The 25,090-nt window shown below is 41.7% G+C and overlaps 1 protein-coding gene and 1 long non-coding RNA gene across 7 annotated transcripts in view, besides 3 other annotated features; one reads left to right on the top strand and one right to left on the bottom strand.

Moving 5' to 3' along the window:
* Positions 1-7,910, top strand: part of CD84 (CD84 molecule) — a 38,399-nt gene extending 30,489 nt beyond the window's left edge. For all 6 annotated transcript variants that reach the window (NM_001184882.2, XM_011510095.3, NM_001184881.2 and 3 more), the window contains one exon: positions 687-7,910. In NM_001184882.2, coding sequence (NP_001171811.1) covers positions 687-752 — 66 coding nt within the window. In that variant the 3' untranslated portion in view covers positions 753-7,910. The remainder of the gene's footprint in view (positions 1-686) is intronic.
* CD84-AS1 (CD84 antisense RNA 1) overlaps positions 1-11,912 on the bottom strand; it is a 34,038-nt gene extending 22,126 nt beyond the window's left edge. Inside the window, exon 1 of the long non-coding RNA NR_188634.1 lies at positions 11,821-11,912. This is a non-coding gene — a long non-coding RNA (CD84 antisense RNA 1). The remainder of the gene's footprint in view (positions 1-11,820) is intronic.
* Positions 468-737: an enhancer, noted in NCBI's record as "active region_1931". NCBI's record gives its function as "activates an Ori minimal core promoter by ATAC-STARR-seq in GM12878 lymphoblastoid cells {active_cell/tissue: GM12878}" and the evidence as "EXISTENCE:reporter gene assay evidence [ECO:0000049][PMID:35858748]".
* Positions 8,515-8,809: an enhancer, noted in NCBI's record as "tiled region #7182; K562 Activating DNase unmatched - State 5:Enh". NCBI's record gives its function as "activates a minimal TATA promoter and a strong SV40 promoter by Sharpr-MPRA in K562 cells {active_cell/tissue: K562}" and the evidence as "EXISTENCE:reporter gene assay evidence [ECO:0000049][PMID:27701403]".
* Positions 8,825-8,914: an enhancer, noted in NCBI's record as "active region_1930". NCBI's record gives its function as "activates an Ori minimal core promoter by ATAC-STARR-seq in GM12878 lymphoblastoid cells {active_cell/tissue: GM12878}" and the evidence as "EXISTENCE:reporter gene assay evidence [ECO:0000049][PMID:35858748]".
* Positions 11,913-25,090: the final 13,178 nt, after the last annotated feature.

Genomic DNA, 25,090 nt, shown 5'->3' with positions numbered 1-25,090 from the left:
AGGAGAAGAAAAGGAGGACAGGCAAGAAGTGAGGGTCAGGGTGCCCAGCATATTTGTGCCAGGATCTCAAGGAGAGTTGGAGGAACAAGAGTAACTTAACTTAGAAGGAGATAAAATTCGAGGGATTAATCATGGAATCCTGGATTGTGACATCTCAAGATAAATCCTTAAAGACAAGTTAGATAACAATTATTGGGTCAGTATTTAATTGAAAACCTAAGACTCCTCAAACCAATGGGAAGATTGTTTGCAGCCCTCTAAATGCCTAGAGCACAGGAGATGCTGGCAGTGAGTCCCCACTATGTATAGGTGAAAGTGGAGTTATTGGGATACAAAAAAACTAGGGGTCAACTAGGAACAAGGAATGCAGGTAGCTTGAACCTGAATGTTGCCTCAAGTCTATAATCAAAATCCATTCCAAATATGCCCCCGCCCCCATTCCCTCCCATTGCTCTTTTCTGGGCTAAGAAGTTAATTGCTCAGGGCCTCCCAAATGGGGGGTAGCTGGAGCAGACATGAGGGACTCAGCAAAGAACAAGGCCCTGCTACCCCAGATTTCCCCAGCATGAGGCAAATCTAAGGCATTCCCCCGTGCCATTTGCTTAACTCCTCTGGGAACTTGCAGGACTGGAGTTCCCCAGCAGCACCTCTCAGTTAACATTTTCTCACGCTTCTCTCCTGCACAGATGGGGAAAGCCAGCACACAGGACAGTAAACCTCCTGGGACTTCAAGCTATGAAATTGTGATCTAGGCTGCTGGGCTGAATTCTCCCTCTGGAAACTGAGTTACAACCACCAATACTGGCAGGTTCCCTGGATCCAGATCTTCTCTGCCCAACTCTTACTGGGAGATTGCAAACTGCCACATCTCAGCCTGTAAGCAAAGCAGGAAACCTTCTGCTGGGCATAGCTTGTGCCTAAATGGACAAATGGATGCATACCCTTCCTGAAATGACTCCCTTCTGAATGAATGACAAAGCAGGTTACCTAGTATAGTTTTCCCAAACTTCTTCCCATCATAGCACATGTAGAAAATAATATTTTTATGGCACACTGGGATAAACAAGCAAGATTGCTCACTTCTGGAAGCTGCATATGACTAGAGGCCTCTTGTGACTGGAGGTAACAACCCTGCCCAGTAACTGTGGGAGAAGGGGATCAATATTTTGCACACCTGTAATAGGCCATGGCACACCAGCCAAGATGCTCTGCTCACAGTCAGTATGTGTGAAGATCCCTGGTGCGTGGCCTTCACCACGCATCTTGAGCAAATTAGGAAAATGTACCCTTCGCTTGAGGCAGATGCAGCCCTTCCCCCGAGTGCATGGCTTGGAGAGCAGAATGTGGGCTGCATATAAGCACACTCATCCCTTTGTCTGGGAATCTTTGTGCAGGGCATAACAGGCTTAGTAAGTCCAAACACAGATGACAGTGCTGTGTGGGTCTCTGTCAGAGTTGTGGCTCTCAGCCATGTAGACACACTCTCCAAATGGAGTGTTGGAAAATGTTCTTTCTGCAGGGTCTAGAGACTGCTGGGACACTTTTCTTGGAGTGCTACTTCAGAAGCCTTATAGGATTTTCTTTCTGGCCAAGATTTCCTTCTGTATCACTCCAAGCAGCCTCAGCAGAAGAAGCAGCCATGCCCAGTATTCCCACTCTCCAAAAGGAACTGACCAGCTTATATTTCTCACACTTCTGGGGAACTGGGTATAATCCAACCATCAAAATAGAAGACCTTGCAAGAAGCAGAGTCATTCTCCAGAAGGAACTTGGGAGATGATGGTGCAGATGATGAAACTGGGTTCATCCCAGTTCCAAAGACTCAGAGAACTAGAGTTTAAGCTGAGGCAGAGTGCCGCCACCCTGGCATGCCCCACAAACAGATCACCAGCCAGCTTACACAGGCATTAACTCTCCTCAATGAGGAAGAATCATTCACAACTGAGCAAGACATTCATATGATCATTTAAGGAAGTGTTTCCCTTATGTGTTAGCAAGTATAATCGGCTAACTCCTAAATCCCAATGAATAGTCCTAGGCTGGACAGCAATGGGCTGCAATTAGGCAGATAAAGACATCAGTCCCAGTAAATGAATCCATAGACTCATCTAGCACCAACTACCATTAGCACTATGTTAGGAGCTGCAAGGCCCCAAAGTAGAAGATGTGCATAATGTCTGCTCTTGTGTAGCTCAGGAGACAATTCCAGCACAGACACTACAGTTAACGCTGAACTGCAGCTGCAAGTAATAGCATGAACAGTCAGAAAAATACCTTATGAGGGGGCAGGGCTGAAGCTGGGCCTTGAAGGATGGATGAAATTTGGATAGAGAATGAGGAAGACAGAGGGCCTCCAAGTGAGAGAAGCATGAAAAATGAGCAGGGGCCTGGATCAGTGGGGTGTATTCAGAGCACCTCTCCAGATGCACCATGCATGCTCACAGTCCCTTGCCTATGTGTGGCAGAGTGTCCCAGCCAGATGTGTGCCCTCACCCCATGTCCATTTACATGTCCTTCAATGCCCACCTCAAAAGGTACCTCTTCTGTAAAGCTTTCCCTGGTATCAGGAATCAAAATTAATCAGGGATCTTTTCACACTGCTGTTTTTTCCTCTTTGGTCCTTCTATCACTAAAACTCATCTCATTCAGCCTTACAGCATAACTAATTATTTGTTTTCCTCACTACATTGTACATGTGGGAATTACAGATAAACGGAAGCCGGCTGGGGTGGTGGCTCACGCCTGTAATCCCAACACTTTGGGAGGCCAAGGCAGGCGGATCACCTGAGGTCAGGAGTTCGAGATTAGTCTGGCCAACATGGTGAAACCCCATCTCTACTAAAAATACGAAATTAGCCAGGTGTGGTGGCACACATCTGTAGTCCCAGCTACTCTGGAGGCTGAGACAGGAGAATCGCTTGAACCCAGGAAGTGGAGGTTGCAGTGAGCTGAGATCACACCACTGCACTCCAGCCTGGGAGAGACAGAGTGAGACTCCATCTCGAAAAAAAAAAAAAGATAGAAGCCAATAAGCATGGTGCAATCAAATTCTGGCAAGCATTAAATATCAGGATGCAGCTGGGCACGGTGGCTCACGCCTGTAATCCCAGCACTTTGGGAGGCCAAGGTGGGCGGATCACTTGAGGTCAGGAATTTGAGAGGATCCTGGCCAGCATGGCAAAACCCCATCTGTACTTAAAATACAAAAAAATTAGCTGGGCGTGGTGGTGCACACCTGTAATCCCAGCTACTTGGGAGGCTGAGGTGGGAGAATTGCTTGAACCTGGGAGGTGGAGGTTGCAGTGAGCTGAGATCCTGCCACTGCACTCCAGGCTGGGCAACAGAGTGAGACCATGTCTCAAAAAATAAAAATAAAATAAAATAATATCAGGATGCATACATCAGAGGCTGTTCCTAGTGTAAAGGCACTTTGGAGGGAGAAGACTTTCAGAGTTAGGCAGACCAACTAAGAGGTCAGCTGAAGCACCTAACCAGTTGTAAGGAGGTGAAAGACAGCACCCCAAGAAGAGACGTGCAGGAAGGAGGAAAGAGGCTTGGTCATAAAGGATGGAGGAATTCCAAAGTGACACTGAACAGGCTGCGTTTATCCTAAAATAAAACCACTCCTCACTCTGTGGATGCGTTGAAGACTCATTCCCAAACATCTTTATTCTCTAACTTGCCCTCTTCCTCTTCCTAATATGCTCACTCAAGTAAAATTACTAGTGTCCTAATGCCCCTATGCATATTGTCAAAAATAAAAATCAGAAGCAGGTTAGATCTGTTAGGTCTTCCAGAAGAGCAAACCTGGGATGAAGCCAGAGCCCAGGAATTCTGAAGGTAGCCTTTGGACTCAGGACACCCTACTCTTGTCTCTCCTCTCAGTTTCTCTGCTATGAATCTCCTGATTCATGAACACGTTATCTGTTCACCCTTCTCTCTAGGTCTTAGTTCTTAGATTTTCCTTCTGTAAAATGCATGTGATCTTATTTTCCCCTCCACAACTTTCCAGATGAACTAGACTGTGACCAAGAGGTCTATAAAATCAAAGCATCATGGAACAGGATCTTGTATCAGACCAAAGTGTGCCAGTTTTTAAAAATGTGCATCAAAATGGAAGTCTCAGAGACAGAGCCCTCTGGTGGAAAGTTCTAGTAGGTTAGGACAGTCCTGCCTGCAGACACCTTGGGCTTTACTGAGGGACTCAACTGAGAAAATGAGGAATGTTGCAGCTCATGATTCTTAGAAGAAGAAAGTGAAGCTTGTTTAAAATATGATTTAAAAAATCTGTAGAACACTGTAAACTACACAGGCTATGAGGGAATAGCCTGGTTGGGCCAGCTTGGAAATCGGGCACAGGCAGGAAGGGGCCTGTCTGGTTTGGGCCGTGTCCACAGAGAGCACTTCTTAGGTCCTGCCTGGAGAGAAGGAATGGCTGGGCTATATTTTCTTCCAGACTCATTATTTTTCTTCTGTTTGACTTTTCTCTGAATTTCCCTTGATTTGTATAAATTTTCTCAATAATTAGTGACAGTGTCTACTGATTGTAAAATGAAGCTTGAAGGCCAGGCGCAGTGGCTCATGCCTGTAATCCTAGAATTTTGGGAGGCCAAGGTGGGTGGATCACAAGGAGTTCGAGACCAGCCTGGCCAAGGTTGTGAAACCGCGTCTCTACTAAAAATACAAAAAAATTAGCCGGGCATGGTGGCACGTGCCTGTAGTCCCAGCTACTCAGGAAGCTGAGGCAACAGAATCACTTGAACCTGGGAGGTGGAGGTTGCAGTGAGCCGAGATCACGCCACTGCACTCCAGCCTGGGCGAGAGAGTGAGACTCCGTCTCAAAAAAAAAAAAAAAAAAAAAAGTTTGAAGAACAAAGACAATAAGAGGAAATATAATGAGTGGTCATAAATGTGGGCTCTGACAGTAGAGTGCCTGGGTCTGCATCCTGGTTTCTTAGTCATGTGACCTTAGGCAAGTTACTTTAACCTCGCTGTACCTCAGGTTGTCCATCTGTAAAATGGGGATAATAATAGTGCCTACCTTTTAAGGTTGATGTGGGGATTAAATGAGGTGTTGCTCATACAGGAATGTGCCTGTGCATGGCAAAGTTCGGGAAATTTTTTATAAGCTGTTCTAGGCCTGAAATCTTCAGAAGATGCTAATCTAAATTCATGAAATAAGCTTCTTACAACAGAAATGCTGCTAGTATTATGCAAAATTAATGTTGTATATCAAACTTTTAACTCTCATCCCTCCTTATTCAGATATATTTTGTTATAAGCAATGTTTGTTCCCCTCGTTATTATACCACAGTCTACTTACCTGATGCTATATCTGCCTCCCCAGTTAGACTGAGAGAACAGGGGATATACCTAAATAATAATAATAATAATAATAATAATAAATAATAATGGAGAGCTCCTTGAAGATAGGGAGCCTGTAAGAATCATTGAGGGCTTATTTTGTATACCAACTGCTAAACTAGATGCTTCATACATTGTTGTCAATACTCATGACAGCCTTGTAAAGTAGAAATTAATTCTTCCAGTTAACACTAAGGCTGACATATGAATACCTTGGCAAATCTGGAAAGCTGGGAAGACAGTATTTGAATTCAAGACTTCTTGTCACCAAGGGCCATGCACTTGTACTCTGCCATGTGGCCCTTTTTTACCTCCTGTGGATTCTCCCTACCTGGTACTTGGCCTTAGGTGTACACACACCTGGCACTTTGCTTGACACATAATAGGTGGACCACAAATATCTACTAAATGAATATTTGCATATAGTAATATTTTAAGGTACTAAAAGCAGCTCAAAGTAAATATATTAATATATTAATTCCATTGCTATCTGGATAACCACTCAACTTTCCTGCTGAAAATGCCCATTTAATTAAAGAAGGTTGGATAGAGCTCTCTATATGCATTTTGGACAGGCAGGGGTTTCAGGTCATAAACATTCTGATGAGTTAATATAAAATAAGAGAAACTGTAAATTTCCACTACTAAAAATCACAAAAATAACAGAAACAAAAGAAGAGATAAGAATTTGGGGAATTGTGCTGAACAATTTAGTGGTTAAAAAAAACAACTGTGCATGTTTAGACTTAAATAAGCCCCCATCCAAGTGTGAGGGGTCCAGTAATTTTTCAAAACATATGAAAGTGTTAATACATTTCGACAAAGGACCATTAAAAAAGTCCTGAATTCTGACTTGAGGGAGGAAAGTAATGACTAATACATTCTCTAGAGACTTGCAGACTTTGGGAATTCATAAAGGAATGGATGATAATTATTAACTGTTGCTGGCTGATTGCCCAGACAGTTCTCAACAGCCCTGTACAAGTCTCTGGGTTTGGGATGGATCAATTCTGAGACTGGAAAATGGCCAAATCTTTGCAAATGAGAAATATTTTTCTTATAAGTTCTTATTGTAGGCAAATAATTACATAGATTATTCATCAGAGAATTTTTAAATGCTCATAATCTCAACTCTTTCATTTACAACTTGTATTTCCAATAGTTTATGGGTCATCTCTGCATAGATGTCAGAAGTCACCTCAAGTTTAGCGTGTCCAAAATCTAACTCACAGGTCTGTTTCTGACCTCCCAACTTGCTTTCCTTGTGTTTTTCCTATGCTAATGATCCACCATAATCAAAATAATTAACATTTATCCAGTGCCTACTATGTACTATTCCCTGTCCTGTTTTACATTTACTCATTTAAAGTCCATAAGAAACATTAAATCTCATCTGCCTTCTGAAGAAGATACAACCATGCTCTCTTTTACAAAGTAGGAAACTGGGTCACAGAAAGGTGAAGTCTTTAAGGCTGAATCACAGTAGCTCATCCTAGTAAATAGAAAAGCCAGGATTCAACTCCAGGGGCTGGGTGCAGAACTGCTATTCTTCACTGCTTCACCAATCAGCAGCTACCCAAGGCAGAAAACTTTTTCATCCTTGGCTCCTTCATTCTCCCTGTCACCCCAGATCCCCTCTACATCTAGTCAGAGAATAGGTCCTGTCAATTCCAACTTCTCTATATGGCTCCTCTCAGGCATGTGCCCTTAATTGGCCTAATTCTCTAATACACCTTCCCTCTACATGCTCACTCCCTCAGATCATTGCTTTATCACGTGTTACCTGGGTTGCTATTACATAAAGAGCAATCTTTCTAAAATGAGGATCTTATCACTTCACTTCCACACTAAAATGTTTTTCCTGGGGAACCACACTCCTTAGCAATCTGACCCATCAGACCTTCCAGGCTGTCTCCTGCCTGCTCCCTAAGGCTCCAGCCACACAGAATTATCATGGGCCCACACACCCACCAAATCCTCCCATGCCTTTGCCCATGTTGTCTGGGATGCCCTTCTCTCCCTTCTGTCTACATCAAGCATCAGACTGAATATCCCTCTTGTGCGGCCTTCTAAAACCTCCCGTCCAAAGCGAAATATATTGCCCTCTATTTATACTTTTACAGCATTTGGCACACAAGTACAGAGTAGTAGCTTTTTATCACATTCTCTGATAATTATATAGATATGGTATTTCTTAGCTCTCTCTCCAACTGGCTAATAAGTTGCTTTTTGTCTGAGTGCCTAATTTTGTGTTTTGTGTCTGAGTGCCTCAGTTCCTCAAAAAAAGGTTTTTTGATTAGTTCATTATTCATTTGAACATGGAAATTATGCTCACTAGTGGCAAATGCCACTAACCGTATTCCAGAAGCTAGGTGTCATGTTTGCAATAAGATATATTATCCCTTCTACAAGTCACCTTTTATTTCAGGCATTTGTAAATGCCCATTAATAAAGTATGGTTCATAAATTTTACCTTGTAAGTGCCTAAGAAATGAGACTACAAGCTCCATTTCAGCAGGACACAATAAATATTATTTTATAATGCATCTATTTTGTGTTTTACTTTGTTTTGGTTTTTGAGAGCAACAAAAATGAAGTAAACAGATGAAACAGCAAAGGAGACAGTCCACATGATAAAAGCCCTGTGCTGTCTGAAAACCCAGGCCCTGAGTGGACACAAGAGACCAAGGGATTGAGGGTATAAGACAGACAAAGAAAAAAAGAAAAGCTGATGTAGAGAGATGATTGGGACCTTGAGAGGAGACTGAGAAGCTAGAGACAGGAAGGACAAATGCCAGAAACAGAAAAAACCCGGAGGGCAGCAGAGGTGCTTGGTTAAGGTGGAGAAGAGAGTTCTGCCTTGGTCAACCTAGAGAGAGGAAATTGAGGACTTAAATCACGTTTTGGGGGTCATCTCCCTCCAGGGAAGAAGCTTTGTCTTATTCATTTTTCACTCACAGTGCCCTATCACAGGAGCCAATGCCTAGCAGAGCTTAGTAAGTATTTGTTGAACTGAATTTGGATTGGCACCCACATATCAGAAGAGGAAAGAGAGTCCTGGAAACCACATTCAGAGTCCGAGTCCCAAATTGGAGAGTAGAAATTCTCTGTGTCACCCATAGTGCCACTTGGAGGAAAGGGATAAAAAGACTGGGCTTTTAACTGAGGAGAATGAGGTTGTGGTTTCCACAGAACTGTAGGTGCAGGGCCTCTGAATGTTTGGTAAACACTGAAGGGGAGGTGACTTACTAACAGGCGCTGTGAGATAGCAAATGGTTTTTAGGCCTGAGACAAAACCACTTCCTCTATTCCCTGCTTATCAGAGGCCACAGCTGCTCTGTTCTGAGCCAGCGTTTGCAGATAAGCCTGGTCTTCCAGCTCCCCACCTACATCTTCTTGTGGGGTTGAAATTGACTGCTACCCATGTAGAATTTCGGAGTCCCTGTGTAGAAACTCTGTAGGCAGATACAGCAACCGTTTGAGAAGATAAATTTCGCTAGTGTTTCTCCAGTGCTTTCTGAGGTTTGGCACATTTCATTTCATTTCATCTACACATTAGCCATAGGACTTTCAGCTTGAAATTACCTCCACCTCCTTACCCTCACTACCTCCAATACACAGCTTCACTCATTCACACAATGCCCATTCATTCTTCTGGGATAAGCTCAAGCGTCCCTTCCTGGGGGGAAGTTTTCCCTGTTCCTCCAGGCCATATCTGATGCCCGTGTTTTGCGCTCATAGTACAACACCTCTTGCCTTTACAGCAGTTTTCAATTTTGTCTTTAAATATTTCTCCCTGTGATTATTTTATTAATTCCTCTCTTCCGTCACTGGACTGTGAGTTCCATCAGGACACAGATCATGCGTGGTTTTGTCACCATTTGTATCCACAGTGCCTGACCCAGTGCAAGTAGTCCTCAATTTGTAATACTTTAATTATTGAAGACGCAATAGCTTATCAGCCTTTAACTGTGTTAGCTGGCATGTTACAATCCTTTGGCATATGTATCAACGACAAAGCCAGGTATACTGTTTATTTCTGAAGTATATTACCTTCATAGATTCTATAAAACCCTTGGTTGGAAATGCACTAGAAAATATTGATTTTACCTGCTATGCAGGAGACACAGAAGAGTTAACACAGCAGGGCTAAAACTGCTGTCCTTTGAAGGGCATGCTTATAAGGTTGGCCCTTGGCTGGTGTCTGAGAACTTGGACTTTGGGACGGTTCCTACCATTCCCTGATAAGAATTCCCTGATAAGGTACTTACACTGTACCTAAATTGTTGGCACAACAATTTGTTTTTTGCTGAATATCTGCTTTCTTTCTTGGATTCTGGAATTTTGGTGCATGCTAGGTAGAGGGTGCCTACGTTACTGCCTGCAGAGAAAAACCCTAAATGCCTAGGCTCCATCGAGCTTCTTTGGTAGATTACATTTCAAACATGACACAACATGTTGTTGAAGGAATTACATACATCCTGTTTGACTCCACTATGAGAGGACTCTAGAAGCTTGCACCTGGTTTCCTCTGGACTTTGCCCTTTTGCCTTTGCTGATTTTCTTTGTGTTTATTCACTGTAATAAATCGGCCATGACTATGGCTATATGCTGAGTCTTGTGAGTCCTCCTACTGAATGACTGAATCTGGGGGTGGTCTTGAAAACCCCAACACAACTCCTGAATGTCACTACAATCTATCTACCTCTCTTTCACCACTAACTACAGTAGTCCAGGTTGCCATCATCTCTTACCCAGACAATAGCACTTGACCTCTTGCAGTCGTGCCTGCTCCCAGTCCAATCCATTCTCTACACCACAACCAGAGTGATCTTTCCAAAACACAAATAATGGTTATATTGGCCATGCTAATGTCATCTGGTGGCAGAAAGGACCAATGGATTGCTGTGGTATAAGGCTTTGTATATGTAATAACTTATAAGTTGAAAATTTATAATTAAGCCCTGGCACAGTGGCTCACGCCTGTATTGGGAGGCTGAGGTGGGTGGATTACTTGAGGCCAGGAGTTCAAGACCAGCCTGGTCAACATGGTGAAACCCCGTCTCTACTAAAAGTACAAAAACAAAAAAAAAAAAAAGCCGGGTGTGGTGGCACACACCTGTAGTCCCAGCTACTTGGAAGGCTGAGGCACGAGAATTGCTTGAACCCGGGAGGCAGAGGTTGCAGTGAGCTGAGATGGTGCCACTGCACTCCAGCCTGGGCAACAGAGCAAGACTCTTTCTCAAAAGAAAGAAAAGAAAGAAAAAAAAAAGAAAAGGAAAGGAAAGAAAGAAAGAGAGAGAGAAAGTTAGTTTATAATTAGAAGAAATTCTTTAACCTGAAAAAAAATGGAAAGATATTCAGTGGTCTAATTGCCAAAAGTGTACCAGCCTAGATGGTCTTAAGGGCTAGTCCTATCACCTACAATGAAAGGATAATTCCCAGTCATCTTAACTGTCCCAAGGCATAGAAAACAGTGGGAAGCTTCCAAATTCATTAAATACTATAATATAACACTGATTCCAAAGCCAGATAAGGATGATCCCCCACAAAGAGATACATAGGCCAGGAGTTAGCAAACTATGGCGTGTGGCCACATCCAGTCTGCCATCTGTTTTTATTTGACCCACGAACTAAGAATAGTTTACATTTTTAAAATGGTTGAAAAGAATTCAAAGAATAATAATATTTTGGGACATGTTAAAATTATGTGAAATTCAAATTTCAGCATCCATAAATAAAGTTTTATTGAAACACAGCCAACACGCATTCTTTTATGTGTTTATTATGGCTGCTTCCATACTACACCAGCAGAGTTGAGTAGTTGCAAAGGAGATTGTATGGTCCACAAAGTCCAATATTCACTACTGGGACCTTTACAGAAAAAGTCTGCCACATCCTGATATAGTCCAATCTCACTTATAAATATAAATGTTAAAAATCTTAAACTTCAGTCAATTTTAAAGCAATGCATTAAAAGAAAAAAAAATGCGACCAAGTAGGATTTTATCCTTAGAGTGCCAGGATGATTTATCTTTAAGAAACCATCTATTGTAATTTGCTGTTCAAACAGATTAAAGGAGATGAAAAAAATAATCATCCTGACATAGTCTACAATATATATTTGATAAAACTGAATACCCATGACTGATTTAAAAAGTTTTCAAGAAAGCTAAAAATAGAATGTGTTTTAGTCAATATCCAATTTTAAAAAACTGAGACCATGTTAAATACTGAAAACTCAACAAGCTGAATATAGGGAATTGATTCCAAAAGTGATGGAGGAGTAAAACAGGGAAGCTGAGGTTACCAAGCAATTAATAATTCCAGGAAGTTGCTATGGAACTTTGTCCCTATGGAAATTTGTCTTGGGAATCAGTGCTGCCAGCTTTCAAGATTCTAAGAGTTCACAGTCTCATCAAAACTGTGAGACTCTGGGAGACAAAAATAACTCACCACTGCAGATGCCACCATCAAAGCCTGATCCCACCAGTACCACACTAGCAAGACTTCTGACATGCTTGCTGGAACTGCACTGCTACACCAGGAACCCTGAAGCGGTACTCATCTTCTGCTATCACTGCCACTACTGAAAACATTACCAGAAACCAAGATTATGGAAAAATATATAATTTATTCCTTCCATCCAACTTTAACCAATACCACCCAGTGACAAAATCTAATCAGAAGCCATCTGACAATGGAAATGATAAATGTAGTTTGCAGACTTCTAACCTTCTGAAAAACAAGGAACACAGAAGGGTGGGAATAGAGCTGAGAGCAAATAAGCAAATGACTGGCTCGGGTTAAACTTTTACAACTTGATACAGCATATGTAGCAAACATTTATTGGAAACATTAGAGGCATTCTTAATAAAGAAATGAATACAAGTAACCATTCTTGTATTCAGTGAATACAAGATCACTGCTACTCTTCAACTGTATTGTATTGAAGATCCTTGTTAGTAAAGTGAGTCAAGAAATACATATAAGAGGCTATCTCACATCTAGAATCAGTCATTTTTCTAAGGGGCATTGGTTCTTCAGAGAGAATATTATTTATCCACCAAGATCTTGGATAATGTCACTAATTTTTAGTTACTTAAGAAATATGTGAACACATTTCTATCATCTTTTTAAAAATCAGTGTAAAAGTATAGAGATAGAGAGAGTGATGTCAGCAAAGTGGTGGACTAGGAAATTCCAAACTCTCTCTTTCCCCCAACTTAGAGTAATAAAAAAACAGCCAAACAAACAAAAAAAAACCCAAATGGTTGAATTAACCTTATAGGGACTCTGGAAAACAGTCAGAGTTTTATAACAACCAATCAAATGCCCAATGAAGAAAAAGCCACTTTTGAAATGGTAGGAAAAGTTCCATGGCATTTTTCTTGCCCTTGCCCCATCCCCTCCTCATCCCAACAGAAAGCTTGTTTAGAGGAGGCAGGAGTTCACTTCTCAGTTCCCTCTCTTGAATGGGAGGGAACATAACAGATCTTATTTGCAATATTCTAATCTGTCTTAGGAGTCCATGAAGAACTGGTCTCTATTTCACTTAATTCAGATCTCAAGTGGGAAAGTGCCACTACTATGAACCCAAAGCTATCAAAATAAAGAAAATAATAAAGATTAGACCAGAGATAAAATAGAGAAAATTAATGAACCAAAAAGTTGATTACTTAAAAGGATCAACGAAATTGGCAAATTTAGTTAGAGTGGTTATGGAAAAAAAGACAGAGTGCTCAAATTACTAAAATTGGAAATGAAAATGAGGACACTACAACCAATTTTTCAGAAATGAATAGAAGAGACTACTACAAACAAATTGGATAACATAGATGAAGTAGACACAATTTTTACAAAGACTGAATCATGAAGAAATAGAAAATCTGATTAGACCTATAACTACTAAGAATATTAAGTAAATAATTTTAAAACAACTTCCCAACAAGGAGAAGTCCTGGATCAGAAGGCTTCACTGGTCACCAAAGAGTTTTAAAAGATTTTACACTAATCCTTCTTAAACTCTTCTAAACATTGAAGATAAATATATTAATTCACTCTGTCTTCCATGACAAAATACCACAGACTTGGTAGCTTAAACAATTGAAATTTATTTCTCACAGTTCTGAAGGCTTCGATGTCCAAGATCAAGGTGCCAGCTGATTCAATTGCTGGTGAAACTCTCCCTGGCTTGTAGGTGGCCAACTTCTCAATACGCCCTCATGTGGTAGAGAGAGAGCAAGAACTTTAGTCTCTCCTTTCTTATCAGTATGCTTATCTCATCATGAGGGTCCCACTCACATGACCTCATCCAAACCTAATTATCTCTCAAAGTCCCCATCTCCAAATATCATCACATTGGGGGTTAGAGCTTCAATATATACATTTTGTAGAGGCATAAACACTCAGTCCTTAACAAGAAGAGACCACTTCCTAATTCACTCTGTGACACCAGCACTACCCTGATACGAAAGCCAAACAAAGACACTAAAAGTAAACAAAACTACAAACCAATATTCCTTATAAATATTTATATAAAAATTCTTACAAAATAAGTAGCAAACAAAATTCAGCAGCATATTAAAAGGATTATACAACATGACAGTGAAATGTATTCCTGGAATGCAAGGATAGTTCAACATACAAAAATCATTCAATGTAATATATTGCATTAACAGAATGAAAGAAAAAAACTGGTCATTTTAATTGACACAGAAAAGGCATTTGACAAAGTTCAATATTCTTTCATGATAAAAACTATCCAACAAGCTAGAAATACAAGGGAACTTTTTACACAATAAAGCCCATATATTAAAAATCCACAGTTAACATCACATACAATGGTGAAAGACTGTAAGTTTTTCTCCTAAAATTAGGAACAAGACAAGATGCTCACTTTTACCAGTTGTGTTCAGTGTAGCATTAGAAGATCTAGCTAGAAAAATTAGACAAGAACAAGAAATAAAAGACATCTTAATTAGAAAGGAAGAAGCAAAATGATTTCTGTTCATGGATAATATAATCTCATATATATAAAATCCTAAAGATAATATAATCTCATGTGTATAAAATCCACACAAGCACACACACAAAAACTCTTAGGGCTAATTAAAAATTCAGCAAAGTTACAGGATACAAAATCAACTGTAAAAATCAGTTCCATTTCTATAAACTCACAATAAACAATCCAAAAAATAAGAAAAACAATTTAATTTACAATAACTTCAAAAAGAATAAAATACTTAGGAATAAACTTAACCAAGTAGGGGAATACTTGTACACTGAAAGCTCTAAGGCATTGCTGAAAGAAATTATAGAAGACATACATAAACGGAAAGACATCCTGTGTTCATGGATTTAATATTATTAAGATGGCAATACAATCTACAGATTCAATGCAATCCCTATCACATCCCAAAGATTTTTTTGCACAAATAGGAAAACTCATACTAAAATTCATATTGAATCTAAACGGACACCAAGTAGCCAAAATAGTCTCAAAAAAGAAGAAAGTTAGAGGCCTCATACTTCCTGATTTCAAAACTTACTACAAAGGTACAGTAATCAAATACAGACCAATGAAATAGAGTCAAGAGCCCAGAAGTAAACCCTTTAATATGTAGTCAAACGATCTTTGGCAAGGGCTCTAAAAGCACTCAATGAGGGAAAGGCCAGTCATTTCAACAATTCGTTCTGGGACAACTGGACATCTACGTGCAAAAGAATGAAGTTGGACCCCTACCACATACTATATATAAAAATTAACTGAAAACATAACAAAGACTTATCTGTAAGAGCCAAAACTATAAAAATCTTAGAAGAAAACATATAGAAAATCTTAATGACATTGCATTTGGCAACGATTTCTTAAATATGACAATAAAGGCACAGGCACCAAAAGAAATCTAGATATTTCTTTCTATATCTGTAATATATATAGCTCACACCTGTAATGCCAGCACTTTGGGAGGCCAAGACAGGTGGATCACCTGAGGTCAAGAGTTCAGTACCAACCTGACCAACATGGAGAAACCTCGTCTCTACTAAAAATACAAAATTAGCTGGGCATGGTGGCGCATGCCTGTAATCTCAGCTACTTGGGAGGCTGAGGCAGGAGAATCACTTGAACCCGGGAGGCAGAGGTTGCCATAAGCCAAGATCACACCATTGCACTCCAGCCTGGGCAACAAGAGCAAAACTCCATCTCAAAAAAAAAAAAAAATTAGACTTCACCAAAATAAAAAATTATACTGTATCAAAAGACACTGTGAAGAGAGTGAAAAGACAACACACAGAATTGGAGAGAATATTAACAAATCAAATATCTTTTTTTTTTTTTTTAGTATTTATTGATCATTCTTGGGTGTTTCTTGGAGAGGGGGATGTGGCAGGGTCATAGCATAATAGTGGAGAGAAGGTCAGCAGATAAACACGTGAACAAAGGTCTCTGGTTTTCCTAGGCAGAGGTCCCTGCAGCCTTCCACAGTGTTTGTGTCCCTGGGTACCTGAGATTAGGGAGTGGTGATGACTCTTAACGAGCATGCTGCCTTCAAGCATCTGTTTAACAAAGCACATCTTGCACCGCCCTTAATCCATTTAACCCTGAGTTGACACAGCACATGTTTCAGAGAGCACGGGGTTGTGGGTAAGGTTATAGATTAACAGCATCCCAAGGCAGACGAATTTTTCTTAGTACAGAACAAAATGGAGTCTCCTATGTCTACTTCTTTCTACACAGACACAGTAACAACCTGATCTCTCTTTCTTTTACCCACATTTCCCCCTTTTCTTTTCGACAAAACCGCCATTGTCATGGCCCGATCTCAATGGTTGCTGTCTCTTCAGAGCTGTTGGGTACACCTGCAGAAAGGCTGTCACTTCACACTTGGAAGATTGCACAGTGGCCAGGCAGAGGTGCTCCTCACTTCCCAGACGGGGTGGCGGCTGGGCAGAGGCACTCCTCATATCCCAGATGGGGCGGCCGGGCAGAGGTGCTCCTCACATCCCAGACGGGGTGGCCAGGCAGAGGTGCTCCTCACTTCCCAGACAATAGGCAGCTGGGCAGAGGTTCTCCTCACTTCCCAGACAGGTCGGCCGGGCAGAGACACTCCTCACCTCCCAGAAGGGGTGGCTGGGCAGAGACGCTCCTCACCTCCCAGACGGGGTGGCTGGGCAGAGGCGCTCACTTCCTAGGTGGGGTGGCTGGGCAGAGGCGCACCTCACCTCCCAGATGAAGGGCGGCCGGGCAGAGGAACTCCTCACCTCCCAGATGATGGGTGGCCAGGCAGAGGGGCTCCTCACTTCCCAGACAGGGCAGCCGGGCAGAGGTGCTCCTCACCTCCCAGACAGGGTGGCTGGACAGAGGCACTCCTCCCCTCCCCGATGGGGTGGCTGGGCAGAGGCGCTCCTCACCTCCCAGACAGGGCGGCCGGGCAGAAGCGCTCCTCACTTCCCAGATGGGGTGGCAGCCGGGCAGAGGCGCCCCTCACATCCCAGATGGGGTGGTGGCTGGGCAGAGGCACTCCTCACTTCCCAGACGGGGTGGCAGCTGGGCAGAGATGCTCCTCACCTCCCAGATGGGGTGGCGGCTGGGCAGAGGCACTCCTCACTTCCCAGACGGGGCGGCCGGGCATAGGTGCTCCTCACATCCCAGATGATGGGCGGCCAGGCAGAGACGCTCATCACTTCCTAGACGGGGTGGTGGCTGGGCAGAGGCGATCCTCACTTCCCAGATGGGGTGGCCAGGCAGAGGGTCTCCTGACATCCCAGACAATGGGCGGCCAGGCAGAGACGCTCCTCACTTCCTAGACGGGGTGGCGGCTAGGCAGAGGCTGTGATCTTAGCACTTTGGGAGGCCAAGGCAGGCAGCTGGGAGGTGGAGGTTGTAGCCAGCTGAGATCATGCCACTGCACTCCAGCCTGGGCAACATTGAGCATTGAATGAGCGCGACTCCGTCTGCAATCCCAGCACCTCGGGAGGCCGAGGCGGGCAGATCACTCGAGGTCAGGAGCTGGAGACCAGCCCAGTCAACACGGCAAAACCCCGTCTCCACCAAAAATACAAAAACCAGTCAGGTGTGGCAGCACATGCCTGGAATCCCAGGCATTCGGCAGGCTGAGGCCGGAGAATCAAGGGAGCCCGAGGTAGGGAGGTTGCAGTGAGGTGAGATCACGGCAGTACAGTCCAGCCTCGGTAAGGTGGGGGGTGGGGCAGAGAGAGAGAGAAAGAGAGAGAGAGAGAGAGAGAGAGAGAGAGAGAATCAAATATCTGATGAGGAATTAATATCTAGAATACATAAAGAACTCTACAACCCCCCCCCCAAAAAAAAATCCAAGTTAAATTTGGGCAAAGGACTTAAATAGATATTATTCCAAAGAAGATATACAAATTGCCAATAAGGCCAATAAGCACATGAAAAGATACTCAACATTATTAGTAATTAAGGAAATATAAGTCAAAACCATAATGAGATACCACTTCACATTCATTAGGATAATCATTATCAAAAAATGAAAAATAAAAAATATTGGCAAAGATATGGAAAAATTAGAACCCTTTTTCCAATCGCAGGTGAGAATGTAAAATGATGAAGCCATCATGAAAAACAGTTTGGCAGTTCCTCAACAGGTAAACATAGAATTACCATATGATCCAACAATTTCACTCCTAGGTGAATCCAAAGAAATGGAGAGCAGGAATTCAAACAGATACCTGTACACCAATGTTCATAGCAGCATTATTCACAATAGAGAAAAGATAGAAACAACCCAAGTATCCACCAATAGATGAATAGATAAGCAAATGTGGTACATACATATAATGGAATATTATTTAGTTGTAAAAAAGGATACAATTCTGATACATGCTACAACATGGATAAACCTTGAATACATTATGCTAAGTGAAATAAGCCAGACACAAAAAGACAAATGTTGTATGATTCCACTTATATAAGGTACCTGCAAATTAATAGAAACAATAAGTAGATTATAGGTTACTAGGGACTGAAGGAAAAGGGAACGGGGAGCCATTGCTTAATGGTCACTGTTTCCGTTTGGGGTAATGAAAAGGCTTTGGAAATAGTGTTGATGACTGCACAACATTGTGCATTAATGCCACTAAATTGTACACTTAAAATGGTTAAAATGATAAATTTTAGATTACATAGCCACGATATATAATTTAGGTTATTTTACCACAATAAAATAATCACCTCCAAATGGAAAAAGTATATAGATGGAAAGTGAAATTTCCAATTCACATTGCACAATTAAGATTTGTGCACTTGACTACTGGGCAAGATGACAAGATAGGAACAGCTACAGTCTGCAGCAACCAGTGAGATCAACTCAGAAGTGGGGTGATTTCTGCATTTCCAGTTGAGGTACCCAGCTCACCTTGGAAGCGCAAGGGGTTGAGGATCTCTCCCCTAGCCAAGGGAAGCTGGGAGGGACTGTCCCATGAAGAATGTTGCACTTCAGCCCAGATACTACGCTTTTCCCATGGTCTTCACAATCTGCAGACCAGGAGATTCCCTCAGGTGCCTACACCACCAGGGCCCTGGGTTCCAAGCACAAAACTGGGTGGCCATTTGGGTAGACACCAAGCTAGCTGCAGGAGGTTTTGTTTTGTTTTGTTTCCCATACCCCAGTGGCACCTGGAACACCAGTGAGACAGAACCATTTATTCCCCTGAAAAGGGGGGCTGAAGCCAGAAAGCCAAATGGTGTAGCTCAGCGGATCTTACCCCCATGGAGCCCAGCAAGCTAAGATCCACTGCCTTGAAATTCTTGCTGCCAGCACAGCAGTCTGAAGCCGACCTGGAAAGCTCGAGCTTGGTGGGGACAGGGGCATCCACCACTACTGAGGTTTGAGTAGGCGGTTTTCCCCTCACAGTGTAAACAAAGCTGCCAGGAAGTTTGAACTGGGCAGACCCCAGGGCAGTTCAGCAAAGCTGCTGTAGCCAGACTGCCTCTCTAGATTCCTCCTCTTTGGGCAGGGCATCTCTAAAGGAAAGGCAGCAACCTCAGTCAGAGGTTTAGAGATCAAACTCCCATCTCTCTGGGACAGAGCACCTGGGGGAAGGGGCGGATGTGGGCTTAGCTTCATCAGACTTAAGCATTCCTGCCTGCTGGCTCTGAAGGGAGCAGCGGTTCTCCCAGCACAGCGCTCTAGCACTGCTAAGGGACAGACTGCCTCCTCAAGTGGGTTCCTGACCCCCATGCCTCCTGACTGGGAGACACCTCCCAGCAGGGGTCGACAGACACCTTATACAGGAGAGCTCGAGCTGGCATTTGGCAGGTGCCCTTCTGGGATGAAGCTTCCAGAGGAAGGAACAGGTAGCAATCTTTGCTGTTCTGCAGCCTCCGTAATGATACAGGCAAACAGGGTCTGGAATGGACCTCCAGCAAACTCCAGCAGGCCTGCAGCAGAGGGGCCTGACTGTTCGAAGGAAAACTAACAAACAGAAAGGAATAGCATCAACATTAACCAAAAGGATGTCAACACAGAAACTCCATCTGAAGCTCACCAACATCAAAGACCAAGGGAGATAAATCCATGAAGGTGGGGAAAAAACAGTGCAAAAAGGCTAAAAATTCCAAAAACCAGAATGCCTCTTCACCTCCAAAGGAACACAGCTCCTCATCAGCAAGGGCACAAAACTGGAAGGAGAATGAGTGTGATGAATTGACAGAAATAGGCTTCAGCAGGTGGGTAATAACAAACTCCTCCAAGCTAAAGGAGTATATTCTAACCCAATGCAAGGAAGCTAAGAAGCTTGAAAAAAGATTAAAGGAATTGCTAACTAGAATAACCAGTTTAGAGAAGAGCAAAAATGACCTAATGGAGCTGAAAAACACAGCACAAGAACTTCGTGAAGCATACACAAGTATCAATAGCTGAATCCATCAAGCAGAAGAAAGGATATCAGTGACTGAAGATCAGCTTAATGAAATAAAGCATGAAGACAAGATTAGAGAAGAAAGAATGAAAAGAAATGAACAGAGCCTCCAAGAAATATGGGACTATCTGAAAAGACCAAACCTTCATTTATTGGTGTACCTGAAAGTGATGGGGAGAATGAAACCAAGCTGGAAAACACACTTTAGGATATTATCCAAGAGAACTTCCCCAACCTAGCAATATAGGCCAACATTCACATTCAGGAAATACAGAGAACTCCACAAAGATATTCTTCGAGAAGAGCAACCCCAAGATACATAATCTTCAGATTCACCATGGTTGAAATGAAGGAAAAAATGTTAAGAGTAGCCAGAGAAAAAGGTCGGGTTACCCACAAAGGGAAGCCCATCAGACTAACAGCAGATCTCTTGGCAGAAACCCTACAAGGCAGAAGAGAGTGGAGGACAATATTCAACATTCTTAAAGAAAAGAATTTACAACCCAGAATTTCATATCCAGCCAAACTAAGCTTCATAAGTGAAGGAGAAATAAAATTCTTTACAGATAAGCAAATGCTGAGAGATTTTGTCACCACCAGGCCTGTCTTACAAGAGTTCCTGTAGGAACCACTAAACATGGAAAAGAACAACCGGTACCACCCACTGCAAAAACATACCAAATTGTAAAGACCATCGACACTATGAAGAAACTGCATCAACTAACGGGCAAAATAACCAGCTAGCATCATAATGACAGGATCAAATTCACACATAACAATATTAACCTTAAATGTAAATGAGCTAAATGCCCCAATCAGAAGACACAGGCTAGCAAATTGGATAAAGAGTCAAGACCCATCAGTGTGCTGTATCCAGGAGACCCATCTCATGGGCAAAGACACACATAGGCTCAGAATAAAGGGCTGGAGCAATATTTACCAAGCAAATGAAAAGAAAAAAAAAGCAGGGATTGCAATCCTAGTCTCTGATAAAACAGACTTTAAAACAACAAAGATAAAAAAGGACAAAGAAAAGCATCACATAATGGTAAAGGGATCAATGCAACAAAAAGAGCTAACTATCCTAAATAGATATGTGCCCAATACAAAGGACCCAGATTTATAAAGCAAGTTCTTAGAGACCTACAAAGAGACTTAGACTCCCACACAATAATAATGGGAGACTTTAACACCCCACTGTCAATATTAGACAGATCAATGAGACAGAAAATTAACAAGGATATCCAGGACTTGAACTCAGCTCTGGAACAAGAGGACCTAATAGACATCTACAGAACTCTCCACCCCAAATTGACAGAAGACACATTCTTCTCAGCACCACATCACATTTATTCTAAAACTGACCACATAATTAGAAGTAAAACACTCCTCAGCAAATGCAAAAGAATGGAAATCATAACAAACTGTCTCTCAGACCGCAGTACAATCAAATTAGAACTCAGGATTAAGAAACTCACTCAAAACCACAAAACTACATGGAAACTGAACAATCTGCCCTGAATGACTACTGGGTAAATAAAAAAATTAAGGCAGATATAAATAAGTTCTTTAAGGCCAATGAGAACAAAGACACAATGTACCAGAATCTCTGGGACACAGCCAAAGCAGTATGTAGTGGGAAACATAGCACTAAATGCTCACAAGGGAAAGCAAGAGAAATCTAAAATTCACATCTGACATCACACTTAAAAGAACTAGAGAAGCAAGAGCAAACAAATTCAAAAGCTAACAGAAGACAAGAAATAATTAAAATCAGAGCAGAACTGAAGGAGATAGAGACACTAAATACCCTTCAAAAATCAATGAATCCAAGAGCTGTTTTTTGCAAAGATCAACAAAATAGATAGCTAGTCAGACTAATGAAGAAAAGAGAAGAATCAAATAGACACAATAAAAAATGATAAAGGGGACATTGCCACTGATCCCACAGAAATACAATCTACCGTCAGAGAATACTACAAACACCTCTACACAAATACTAGAAAATCTAGAAGAAATGGATAAATTCCTGGACACATACACCCTCCCAAGATTAAACCAGAAGGAAATCAAATCCCTAAATAGACCAATAAAAAGTTCTGAATTTGAGGCAGTAATTAATAACCTACCAACCAAAAAAAGCCCAGGACTAGATGGATTCACAGCCGAATTCTACCAGAGATACAAAGAGGAGCTGGTGCCATTCCTTCTGAAACTATTCCAAACAATAAAAAAAGAGGGACTCCTCCCTAACTCATTTTATGAGGCCAGCATCATCCTGATACCAAAACCTGGCAGAGACACAACAAAAAAAGAAAATTTTAGGCCAATATCCCTGATGAACATTGATGTAAAAATCCTCAATAAAATACAGGCAAACTGAATCCAGCAGCATATCAAAAAGCTTATCCACCAGCCGGGCATGGTGGCTCGTGCCTGTAATCCCAGCACTTTGGGAGGCTGAGGTGGGTGGATCATGAGGTCAGGAGATCGAGACCATCCTGGCTAACACAGTGAAACTCTGTCTGTACTAAAAATACAGAAAAATTAGCTGGGCGTGGTAGTGGGCACCTGCAGTCCCAGCTACTCAGGAGGCTGAGGCAGGAGAATGGCATGAACCCAGGAGGCGGAACTTGCAGTGAGCCAAGATTGTTCCACTGCACTCTGGCCTGGGCGACAGAGCAAGACTCCACCTCAAAAAAAAAAAAAAAAAAAGCTTATCCACCACAATCAAGTTGGCTTCATCCCTGGTATGCAAGGTTGGTTCAACATATGCAAATCAATAAATGTAATTCATCACATAAACAGAACCAATGACAAAAACCACATGATTATCTCAATAGATGTAGAAAAGGCCTTTGATAAAATTCAACATCCCTTCATGTTAAAAACTCTTAATAAACTAGGTACTGATGGAACGTATCTCAAAATAATGAGAGCTATTTATGACAAACCCACAGCCATTATCATACTGAATGGGCAAAATCTGGAAGCATTCCCTTTGAAAACTAGCACAAGGATGCCCTCTCTCACCACTCCTATTCAACATAATATTGAAAGTTCTGACCAGGGCAATCAGGCAAGAGAAAGAAGTAAAGGGTATTCAGATAAGAAGAGAGGAAATCAAATAGTCTCTGTTTGCAGATGACATGATTGTATATTTAGAAAACTCCATTGTCTTAGCCCAAAATCTCCTTAAGCTGATAAGCAGCTTCAGCAGTCTCAGGATACAAAATCAATGTGCAAAAATCACAAGCATTCCTATACACCAAAAATAGACAAACAGAGAGCCAAGTCGTGAGTGAACTGCCATTCACAATTGCTACAAAGAGAATATAATACCTAGGAATACAACTTACAAGGGATGTGAAGGACCTCTTCAAGGAGAACTACAAACCACTGCTCAAGGAAATAAGAAAGTACACAAACAAATGGAAAACCATTCCATGCTCATAGATAGGAAGAATCAATATCATGAAAATGGCCATATTGCCCAAAGTAATTTATAGGTTCAATGCTATTTCCATCAAACTACTATTGACTTTCTTCACAGAATTAGAAAAAACTACTTTAAATTTCATACAGAACCAAAAACGAGCCCATATAGCCAAGACAATTGTAAGCCAAAAGAACAAAGCTGGAGGCAGCACGCTAACTGACTTCAAACTATACTACAAGGCTGCAGTAACCAAAACAGCATGGTACTGGTACCAAAACAGATATATAGACCAATGGAGCAGAACAGAGGCCTCAGAAATAACATCACACATCTACAACCATCTGATCTTTGACAAACCTAACAAAAACAAGCAATGGGGAAAGGATTCCCTATTTAATAAATGGTGTTGGGAAAACTGGCTAGCAATTATGCAGAAAACTGAAACTGGTTCCCTTCCTTATACCTTACACAAAAATTAACTCAAGATGGATTAAAGACTTAAATGTTAGACCTAAAACCACAAAAACCCCAGAAGAAAACCTAGGCAATACCATTCAGGACAAAGGCATGGGCAAAGACTTCAATACTAAAACATCAAAATCAATGGCAACAAAAGCCAAAATTGACAAATGGGACCTAATTAAACTAAAGAGCTTCTGCACAGCAAAAGAAACTATCATCAGAGTGAACAGGGAACCTACAGAATGGGAGAAAATTTTTGCAGTCTATCCATTTGACAAAAGGCTAATATCCAGAATCTACAAAGAACTCAAACAAATTTACAAGAAAAAAAAAAAAACCCCAACAAAAAGTGGGCAAAGGATATGAAGACACTTCTCAAAAGAAGACATTTATGCGGCCAAGAAACATATGAAAAAAGCTCATCATCACTGGTCATTAGAGAAATGCAAATCAAAACTACAATGAGATACCATCTCATGCCAGTTAGAATGGCAATCATTAAAAAATCAGGAAACAACAGATGCTGGAGAGGATGTAGAGAAATGGGAATGTTTTCACACTGTTGGTGGGAGTGTAAACTAGTTCAACCATTGTGGAATACAGTGTGGCGATTCCTCAAGGATCTAGAACTAGAAATACCATTTGACCCAGCAATCCCATTACTGGTTATATACCCAAAGGATTATAAATCATGCTGCTATAAAGACACATGCACACTTATGTTTATTGCAGCACTGTTCACAATAGCAAAGACTTGGAACCAACCCAAATGCCCATCAATGATACACTGGATAAAGAAAATGTGGCATATATATACCATGGAATACCATGCAGCCATAAAAAAGGATGAGTTCATGTCCTTTGCAGGGACATGGATGAAGCTGGAAACCATCATTCTCAGCAAACTAACACAAGAACAGA

The sequence above is a fragment of the Homo sapiens genome, chromosome 1, assembly GCF_000001405.40.
Source record: "Homo sapiens chromosome 1, GRCh38.p14 Primary Assembly".
NCBI classification, from domain to species: domain Eukaryota; kingdom Metazoa; phylum Chordata; class Mammalia; order Primates; family Hominidae; genus Homo; species Homo sapiens.
The sequence above is the reverse complement of the archived record's forward strand: the minus strand, read 5'-3'. Positions and strand labels throughout refer to the sequence as shown.